The 10,477-nt window shown below is 45.4% G+C and overlaps 1 long non-coding RNA gene and 1 pseudogene across 2 annotated transcripts in view, besides 1 other annotated feature; one reads left to right on the top strand and one right to left on the bottom strand.

Moving 5' to 3' along the window:
* Nucleotides 1-575, top strand: part of NUTM2B-AS1 (NUTM2B antisense RNA 1) — a 135,095-nt gene extending 134,520 nt beyond the window's left edge. Inside the window, exon 7 of the long non-coding RNA NR_120613.1 lies at nt 19-575. This is a non-coding gene — a long non-coding RNA (NUTM2B antisense RNA 1). The remainder of the gene's footprint in view (nt 1-18) is intronic.
* A 2,602-nt stretch (nt 576-3,177) lies between these two features.
* BEND3P3 (BEN domain containing 3 pseudogene 3) lies at nt 3,178-9,100 on the bottom strand (annotated as a pseudogene). Its single transcript, NR_027512.1, has one exon. The product of NR_027512.1 is annotated as a BEN domain containing 3 pseudogene 3 (transcript).
* Nucleotides 7,356-8,283: an enhancer, noted in NCBI's record as "H3K4me1 hESC enhancer chr10:81443548-81444475 (GRCh37/hg19 assembly coordinates)". NCBI's record gives its function as "activates a minimal SCP1, AML or CMV promoter by ChIP-STARR-seq in naive H9 embryonic stem cells {active_cell/tissue: H9 hESC(naive)}" and the evidence as "EXISTENCE:reporter gene assay evidence [ECO:0000049][PMID:30033119]".
* Nucleotides 9,101-10,477: the final 1,377 nt, after the last annotated feature.

Below are 10,477 nucleotides of genomic sequence, written 5' to 3'. Positions count from 1 at the left end.
AAACCTCTGCTCCTACAGGATTTAAACCTCAGACACAGGGAGCTGACCTATTCACCTTAGAATCCTCTGGGGCACCCATTACAGTGTCTGTACCAAGGAGGCAACAAAGAACGGCGGAACAGACTGGAGCAGAAGGACCACCCAGCAGAGCCAAGCCAAATCACTGACCCTCAGAGGCCTGATGTGAATGCTTATGGCTTCAGTCCATTGGATTCTGCAGTAATCTGCCGATCTACAGTATTACCACAGTAAATAACCGATAGACCTGAAAACGAATGCATGCCTTGTGCCAAAATTGCAGGAAACCTCACCAGGAGAAACAATTTTATATGAGGGAATGTACTCTCTCCTTTGCATTTTCCCTCAAATCTATATTTTTAGCCCCTCACTTGTCTCTACAGAGCCTCAGTTGCTTAATCTAATTGCTGACTGAACATCTCCAGGAAACTGTGTGTACGTGTTTGTATTCATAGTATATTTATTTATTATCTGTTTACTTCCATGGGATATAGTCTCCATAAGAGAGTAGTCATCATTGTATTTGTTGATGCTTAATAAATAATCATTGAATGGGCCGGGTGTGGTGGCTCATGCCTGTAATCCCAGCACTTTTGGAGGCCGAGGTGGGCAGATCACAAGGTCAGGAGATTGAGACCATCCTGGCTAACATGGTGAAACCCTGTCTCTACTAAAAATACAAAAAATTAGCTCGGTGTGGTGGTGGGTGCCTGTAGTCCCAGCTACTCAGGAGGCTGAGGCAGGGGAATGGCTTGAACCCAGGAGGCGGAGCTTGCAGTGAGCCGAGATTGCGCCACTGTGCTCCAGCCTGGGTGACAGAGCGAGACTCTGTCTCAAAAAAAATAAAAAAATAAAAAACAATAAAATAATCATTGAAAGAAGGAATCAAAGAATGTGGTCCCGGGTTGGGTGCCCTTAGTTCAGTCCCTGAGAATTTATGAGTATAATGTTTTGCTTTTTAAAAAGTGAAAAAAGGGAGCATAGTTTCATTGAAGGAGAAGTTAAACTATGACTCAGGCCCCCAAACAGTCTCACCTGACCCCATATGCTGCTGTTGGACTAAAATGTCTCAATAGAACTGTCCTTAGTCAGCCGCTTTACACCTGCTTGGATTAGCCACTGGATATGAAGCTTCCCCAGAAAGTGGAGAGAACTCAGCAAGGGTGCTCTCCATAGCTGAAGCAACCCTGGGAGGGCCTGAGAGCCAAGTCTATCTTCCAACAGTATTCCCAGCAAATGGTGAAACAAGTCATTCATCAAGGAGGGATCTAGGTGGCTGATGCCTGCATCAACCACAGTCTGCCTCTGTTCAGCTTGAATCCATTTCTTCATTTGTAGTCTGAGGGTGTAAGACAAATGCATGTGTCTGTGTGTTCAGGATTGTAGGAGGTGGAGGTCTGTATGTTTAGGGTAGTGTGTCTTTGTGCATACAAAGTTGGAGTTTGTATGTATGAATTTAGGGAGTTTGAGGGGCTGTATATGTATTAGGGAGGAAAGCCACCACATATGTTTGTGGTAGAGTTGGAGTTTTGTGTATAATGTGAGGATTCTTTTGGATTATATGTGTTCTGGACTGTGGGTAGTTTATGTGGATATTCAGAGTATGTGTAGGGAGCATGTATATGTATTTGAAGGAGGGTAAGGTTATGTGAAGTATGTGTTGAATTCTGGTGGGATGAGGCATGTGTGAATTCATAGCTTCTGCAGGTTTTATGCAGCTGGCCTGAGAAGGTTGGAGTGTCTAATATATGCATTTGGAGATTGGGAGTTGGTGTGTCTGTGCATTTATTTGGATCATGGAAGGTTGTAGATGTGTATTTCTAACTGTAGATGATTGAGGATGCATATTTGGGGAGTTTTGAGAGGACGTGTATGTGTGTGTGTGTGCAGTGTGGTATTTCTCTGTTTTTGAGGGTGGGGTATGCATCCATCAAAATATCTCAGATTATCTGATGTAAGAAAATAATTCTGCATCTCAGTGACTTCCAACAAGGTAGGTTTCTCATGTATGTTATGTGTCCTCCATTGGTTGGCTTTGATCAGTTACTGGTCCTGTGTCTTGGATCCAGATGGATGGAGCAGCCTCATTTGGGACAGGACTAGAAGGACTTCTTCTGCTCAGAGTCATATATGGCATTTCTGCTCACATTTCATTTGCCATAACAAGTCATGTGGCCATACTCGAGTTAAACAGACTAGGGATGTATAATCTCTCAGACAGAGATACCACAGAGAAGGACCATGAATACTCTTCATAGTGATACATCTGCCCCATTGTGTATACATTCAGAACATGTTCCATTGCTGTGTTTATATTTCACTAAGGAGTATGGGGAGTTGATGAGGGAGTGTGTTTAGGTGTGTGAAGGCTGGTGTGTGACGAGGCATTGGCAGGTGTGGGATATTTTTATACTAACACATTTTGGGGATTTGTATCTGTTTTGGGTATTTGTATTCTGTGTCATGTATATGTGTTATATATTTAAGATATATATTTATGTAGGTAGGTTAAGTATTCAGTGGTGTCAGAAATGTGTTTTTAGGGGAATATGGGTGAGTTTTTAGTATATTACAGAAGCATAGTGGGTTTTGGGTTTATTCTGAGGGTACTGGATAGTTATGTGTTCCTATTTGAATGGTGTGTGTGTATTTGCATGCTGGGGGTGGTTTTGTGTATTTTGACGGTACTGTGAGATATTGTGAATATGTGTGCATACATTTGAAAAGGCAGGTAATGTTCTATGTTTTAATGCTTTGTGTTTTGGATTTGTGTGTATTCAGAGTAGAGGACTTTATGCTTACGGTGTCTAGATGAGAATTTAGATGTACATTTTTGGTGTGAAGAATTTGGAGGCAGAGAGATGGCTGGGTGTATTTGGGTGTTACCACTACATGTATGTAACCTGAGGATATGGACAGAATATTTATAGTTTTCAAGATGGAGGCTTGTGTATGTTTGTATTTGGGAGTATACGGCCATGTGTGTATTTGGATCTGTGAGTATATCGTGGGTGTGTTATTCAAGCATCTGCATGTTTGAGTTTGTGTAATCTGAAGAGTGTGAATTTATTCAGGAAATGTGGTGGCTGTGCGTCCACTCTAGAGCTGTGAGTGTGTGGTCTGTGCTTCTACCAGGAGAGTATAGGATAATTTCCTCTTTTTTTCTATTTTTATAACATTTTATGTAACTCATAAAACAGTGTTTGTATAAAAATTCACACAAAGTTGCTAGAGAGCATACGATTTCCAAAAATGTCCTGGGTTTTTCATTACATTAAGTTTTTCTAAGGATGCACTCAAATCAATGGTAAAATGCAGACATTATGTGACACTTCATTATCTTTAGCAAAACTATTCTCACTACTTTGTCTCCTCACAGTATTAACTCTGATACCCACTTTGTGCAGGGTTTGCTAGTACTAGGATGTCACAAAACCATTAAGGCTGGATCTACAAGAGGCAAATATTTCCAAACAGCAGTAATAGCCCCTTGGCCCCCACCCCCACTTCATATATCCATACAGTCTGTCTACACAGTGAGGCAGGGTGCAAGCTCACCACCACTTGGGAGTCTCAAGATCCTCCCTCTATTGGGTGAGAAGCAAACATTTGGGGAAAATGTTGGAAACTGAGGCCGTCTCTACAGGAAACCACGTGGCCATGCTCTAGTGTTTTTGGGTCAGCGACCCTTACCAATTAAACGGCCACTCAGTACATTCATAACTATCTTCATTCTTTAAAAACTTACTAACAGAGAAACCAATGAACCCTACCACCTACTGTGACTTACTAGTTCAGTCAACATCAAAACGTGTCTGCTAATTTTTTAGTCCTTGGGATACAAGACAAAAAAAAACAAACAAGTAAAAACCAAAGAATTTAGACAGGGGGAAGGAAAGGGATTGCCAGTAGATTTCATGGAACACATTAAATTTTGAAAAAAATCAGTATTTTCTACTTCTCTTCCTTCGTGTAAAAAGTTTAAAATAAAAAAATGCCCACTGGAGCCACCTGTATGGATGGAGAAGTGAGGACATGATATAGACAGGGCACAGGACCTGCAGTCGTTTCCTGACGACAGTCCAGAGGGACAGGAATAGTTCCCAGGATGTGTCCATTTCTCTTCACAGAAAGGGACTGTAACATTTTGAGGCAAGAAGCCCTACACGTGAAAGGTGTTAAGAAAATCATCACTGAAATATGGTTTCCAAAAATTGAGCATGCTCTAGGTTACAAACAGACATATTTAATTCCTAGAACTTGTTGAACTTCTCTGACATGGGTAGATGGGAATTTCAAAAGAGTTATTAATAATTGTGGTTCTAAAGTTGCAGGGTCAACATTTCACCCTCTAGAAAGCAGGGCAATTCAGGGCTTAGAGTCTTCTTGTTTACATCATAGAAACCAGAACAAATTTCATGGGACCCCTCAGCCCCAACAACCAGCGGCCAGGTGGAGAGAAGGCCACAGCTGTCTTTGGGTAGGGAGCCTGTGTGTGCATGCTGTGTGCATGTGCTGGAGAGACTAAGGCATAGAGAAGGGCCCAAGCAATGAGGTAAAGTGAGTCTCCTGGCTGCGCTAGTCCCTTCTTTCCAGGCACAAAGAAGTTGAACTTGTTATTCATGTAGGCCCCCTTCCTCTCACCTCAGCTTTTAGTAAGCAGTGTGTGTGTGCACGAGTAGCTGTGTGTGACAGAGTAAGTCCCTGTGCCTTTCTAGATTTCAGCAATTCAGGTTTGCAGTTTCAACAGAAATAATCTGTAAATGACACGAGCAAATTTACAAGTTAGATTAGCAACTTTACATTGCTTAAAATCTGATATTATATTTTTAAAAATGCCTCTGGGTACAGGCAAAATTATGTCATATGGCCACTGGAACTGAAGTCCTTACCAGCTATGTGAAGAATATTCAGATTGTTTCTGTTATCTCTGCATTTTAAAGTAGCAAAATACTAAGCCATTAGGTTATTGAACCTGTAATATTCCCACAGGGGTTTTATGTCTACCCCATGGGATTCAATTAATTTTCCTGGACCCTGGTTAGACTGTTTCCTTTCCCTCTTAGGCATTTGGCCCCCAAAGTTAGGTAGGTAAAAGTGTCATTTTTAAAGATTTTACCTGTCAGGGAATTTCCTGGTTGGTGCTCCTGGAAAGCATGCAGCTGGCCGGCGGGAGTCTGACATTCTCAGTCAGTGGGGAGAGAAGACATGTGTCTCCCAAAGCCAAGAGGTAGCCAGGTGGAGGACAGCAGGACTTTCTAGGGGGTCCAAGGGGAAAGTTCTGAGTGGACCCTGGGAAGGGACATGGGTGCCCCATCTGAGATGACCTGTGTCCTTCCAATGCCTGGTATCCCCAAGAGGGGCCCAGACATGGACCGCCCTGGGGAACGAGGATGTGGTGCTGCCTGGAGGAGCTAACACTGAGGTTTGGGGAAGTCACCACACAGCTCCCAGAACCCAGAATCTCTGACAAGCAACCATGTGTGGAGAGGGAATGGGGACAGTGGAAGGACACAGCTCAAATGAAGACACTGCGGACATGTTTCCATGGCTTTCTACATTCTTCATCATCATCGAGTGTTCTCCTCTACACAGTGAGCACAACATTTTACCCACGTGCCTGATGGACAGGCCAAGCTGAATGGAAGCCTTCTGAGGCACTGGAGCAGAAGGGAAAACTTGCACATGGTCGCAAAGGACTTCACACTGTTCCATCCCCTCTACTGCCATCCAAGAGGCCTCTTGACTCTTCCAGAATCAGATGTAAAAGACAAGGTCAGTAAAATCAGTATCCATGTCACCTGAAGCTATGATTAGGCATTGTACACGAACATGGCACTTTTATTTACTTATTTATTTATTTATTATTTATTTTGAGACGGAGTTTTGCTCTTTTCGCCCAGGCTGGAGCGCAGTGGCGCTATGTTGGCTCACTGCAACCTCTGCCTTCCGAGTTCAAGTGATTCTCCTGTCGGCCTCCTGACTAGCTGGGATTACAGGCACCCACCACTACGCCTGGCTAATTTTTGCTTCTTTTTTTTTTAAGTAGAGATGGGGTTTCACCGTTGGCCAGGCTGGTCCTGAACTCCTGACCTCAGGTAATCCACCTGCCTTGGCCTCCCAAAGTGCTGGGATTACAGGCATGAGCCACCGTGCCTGGCCTGAAGATGGCACTTTTAAAAAGATTTTTTTCTAAGTAAAATGGCCCCCAAAGAGCCCAATGATTTTTTTAAGGGTTTATTTTTCATTTTAAAAAAACTGGATAAAAATGAAAGCTGTAAAATATGGGAAGAGGAGCAAGAGAGCTGCTGAGTTTGCATTTGAAATTGTGAGGGGCTGGGGAGGACACGACCAGGTAGAGAGGACCCCTACCCACTAGTCCCTGCTCTCACAGCTTGCGCTCCCCACACTCAGGCTGCACCACCAGGGAACACAGGACAGAAGTCTAGAGGACAAGAGACCAAACTCAAGTCTTCTTTCTTGTGGTTGGTTGGGTGTTTACATGTGCAAGTGTAGTAAGCCACACCCCACAGACATAAGGTGCCTGTCTGTGGATGCCATAGGCATGCTCCTAAGCTCAGTCTCTGGTGACCCCGAGTCTCTGGGCAGGCCACGGGCCTTCACTTCTCCACTTTCTTGGCTTTCTTGAGGATGTTGCATTTTTTCCTGTTAGGGCAGTGGCACTGCTCGTCGTTGCTGGGGATACATTCGCAGTGCCACACCTCCTCCACCTTCTCCACGGGGTAGACGGCTTCCACCTAGTGGCAGATGAGCCGCAGCTGCGTAGGGTCCAGCTGCTTCTTGTTGCAAGCCCGAAAATTGTTGTACTGCAGCTGGAGGTTCTCGGCGGTGGAGGAGCCCCGCGGCAAAGTTGCCCACGGAGAGGCTCTGCTGCACGATCTTGCACACCTCCTTGTCGGACAGCAGGTAGGGAGAGCGCACCGGGAAGCTCAGTGAGGGACCACCACCTCATCCAAGGGGATCTTGCAGAAGTCCTTGCTGCTCCTCTCGGGGGCAGCGGGGGACCCTCAGACTCCTCTCTGAACCTCTCAGGATTGATTGCATAGCTCCTCATGTCTTTACACTCGGGGCCAGCACGTGGACCTTGCACTGCTGCTGGTAGGAGCGCCTCTGTTCCTGTTCCAGTGCAGGTTGCCCATGAACTCAAGGGTCCAGACGCGATTGTTTTTGGTGCAGAGGTAGAGCAGGTGCACTTAGTGGCGAATGAGCTTGATGCAGGACGGGTCCAGCTGCTTCTTGCCCAGGGAGTCGCTGCAGCTGTGCTGCTTGTGCAGGTTGTCATGGGTGAAGAGCTTGGGGAATAGGGGCACCAGCAGGCGCGAGGTGAAGTTGCCGATGGACAGGCTGCTCTCGTAGATACTGTGAAGATGCTCGTTGCTGAGCAGGCCGTCGGCGCCGGGCACCTCCAAGTTGGGCTGGGGATCTCCAATTTGACCAAGTCGATAGGTACCAGTCAGATCTTCTTGGAGCGGCACCGCTCGCCCTTGAAGCTATCCTCCACCCTGATTACTGAGATGTCATCGGGCAGGCTGGAGGAGTTGTAGCAGTTGTCGCGTGGGGGGCTCGCCTTCGCTGCCTGCGTCCAGCCCCAGGCCCTGAAGCTTGTCGTTGATGCACTGGGCGCACCGCTGCAGCCAGGCCTCCTCCTCCTGCATGTGGGGGAAGTAGACCTCCGTGAAGTTGCAGATGATCTGCAGCCTCTGCGGGTCCAGGTCCTGCTTGCCGCCAGGCCTCCTCCTCCTGCATGTGGGGGAAGTAGACCTCCGTGAAGTTGCAGATGATCTGCAGCCTCTGCGGGTCCAGCTCCTGCTTGCCGCCGTCCCCGTAGCAGCTGTCCTGCTCGCCCAGCTTGCGGTAGTGGAAGAGCTCAGGGAAGAGCCAGTGGAGGAGGAAGACGGCAAACTCGCCTGTGAAGAGGCTTCATGCAGGAACTAAGTGAGGGCCTACATGTCCACCACGTGGTCTGAGGCGATGGTGCTGCTCCAGTCCAGAGACAGGCCCTCCTCCTCGTCTTTGTGGTCCAGGAAGTGGCCGGGGTCCACTGCTCAGCCTCAAGCTGGCAGCCTGGCCACCGGGCTGGCTGTTCTCCATCTCCCGCTGGGCCCAGAAGTGGCTGAAGAACTTATTCAGCTGGGGCAAGCACTCGGCCTGTCACACAGCCCTCTCCTTCACCGAGGGGTAGTAGACCTCCATGTAGTTGTGGATGAGCTGCAGGTGCAGTGACTCCAGCTTAAGCTTGGCCTCAAAGCTGCAGGCACTGCAGCCTCGGGAGAAGTTGACTGTGGCTGAAGAGCTTGGGGAAGAGCTGCACCAGCGGGCAGCAGGCCAGGACCCCGCCTGACAGGCTCTGGTCCAAGATCTGCTTAAGCTCCATGCCCGTGAGCTGCTACGGGGTGGTGGGGGTCGGCTGGAATTTGGCCACCATCTCAGTGGGGTTCACCTTCAGGGAGAGCAGGTCCACTTTGCTGTGTAGCTGGGACCTGTTGGACGTGAGGGTGTTGAGCATGTAGAACATCTCCTGGATCAGGAAGTAGATGTTAGGGTCACTGTTGGTGGCTGCCCCAGTGCTGCCACAGTCCCACTTCTATGGCTCATTCAGGAGCCTAAGCAGCGAGGGGCTGTTGCTGGAATTTGCCTTCTGGAAGAGCTCATACGTGTTTAGCAGGTCCCCCGAGGGAGGGTTCTTCTTCTCCATGACCTTGTGGGAGATGCCATACAGAGGCTTCTTGTAGTAAGGGGTGGTGGCATGGTTGCGGGGCTCCTCCTTGCCTGGCCACACAGAGCCCGAGCTCCTGCCTTGCCGGCCTGCTCTCCATTGCCTTGGCAGGGCGAGCTGTTCTCGGGTTCCACATGCCTGCTAGGAGCGCCTCTGGGATCAGCTACCTCCTCTCCACGCTGGGGATGGAGTCTGGCTGGCCATTGCTGACCAGCTGAGTCCTGGAGGGCAGTAAAGACGCTGTCCAGAAGGTGCTTCTCAGAAGTCCTGGAATTCACGGAGCAGCCTAGAGCAGCATCTTTGGCCTCTGTCTCCACTCTCACTTCTTAGAAGTTCTTCTACATCAATTTTTTTTGGAGATGGTTCTGACTCTGTCACCCAGGCTGGAGTGCAGCAGTTGCTCAGAGCTCACTGCATCCTTGACCTCCCAGACTCAAAAGAGCCTAGCTACTTAGGAGTAGCTAGGACTACAGGCCACGGCCACCATGCCTGGCTAATCTTTTAAATTTTTTGTAGAGGCAGAGGTCTCTCATTGTGTTGCCCAGACAAGTCTCAAATTCTCGGGCTCAAGTGTTCCTCCCAAAGTGCTGGGATTAATGGCGTGAGCCACTGTACCTGGCCATATTTTTTTTTTCAAAAAATTCATTTGTAGAGTTTAAAAAGTATCTTTTGATCAAGAGTTCTTATTGTATTTATGTTTGCAAATTTCATTTCCCATTCTGTTGCTTGCCTTTTCACTCTCAGTGAGTTATTTTATGATTACAAATCCTTATTTTTTATGTTATTTTATTACTATTTATTAACTTATTTATCTTATTTATTAGCCTTCAATCGTTACTTTTTGAGTCTTTTTTAAAATCTTAAGGTCATAGAAGTGTCCTCTGTATTACTTTTTAAAAACTGTACTGTTTTATGTTACACATTGGCTTCTATATGAAATAATTTTTGTGTATGTTGTGAGGTTGGATGTTAATATTCATTTTTATCTGTACCGATGTATGAAAGACAGCACAATTTATTGAAAATGAATCTTTTCCTCATTGTACTGAAGCACTATTTTTTTCACAAATCAGCTAAATATATTGTGTGGTTCTCTTTACGAGCTCTCTATTCTGTTTCATTGAAATATCTATACTTGCACCTTTTCCATAATGTCATAATTAATATACATTTATAAAAACTTTATATCTAATAGTGTAAGTCTTCACATTATATTTTTTCTTCAAAGTTATCTATACACTGCATTTTTATTTGCATTTTATAGTCAGTTTTTCAGTTGCCACCAAATATAATGCAGACAAATTATGCTATTACTAATCACAGTATTGTGATTTTCAGTGTATTACAAATATAGATTTATTTAAAATACTGAATCTTTCTTCTAATACCAGGAATGACATAGGACTCACAGTACACCTTTATTTCTGTTGAATATCTTTAATTTCTCTCAGTAAAATTTCACAATTTTCAGTAAAGGGATTGCATATGATATGTTACATTTTATATTAGGAATTCAATGTTTCTTCCTGGAAACATTTCAGATTTTTAATATTTTATTTGATTTAGACTCACTACATTTGGAAAGCTTTAATTGTAATTTTATTTTTAATAGATATAGAGCTATTAGGATTTGCTATTTATTCTTGTGTCACTATTAATGATTTTCTAGAAATGTATCTATTTCATCAAATTATTTCAAAATTTTTGACTTAAAGTTACTTA

Source organism: Homo sapiens, chromosome 10, assembly GCF_000001405.40.
Source record: "Homo sapiens chromosome 10, GRCh38.p14 Primary Assembly".
Classification (NCBI taxonomy): domain Eukaryota; kingdom Metazoa; phylum Chordata; class Mammalia; order Primates; family Hominidae; genus Homo; species Homo sapiens.
Note: the sequence above shows the minus strand (reverse complement) of the source record. Positions and strands in the feature narration are given on the sequence as shown.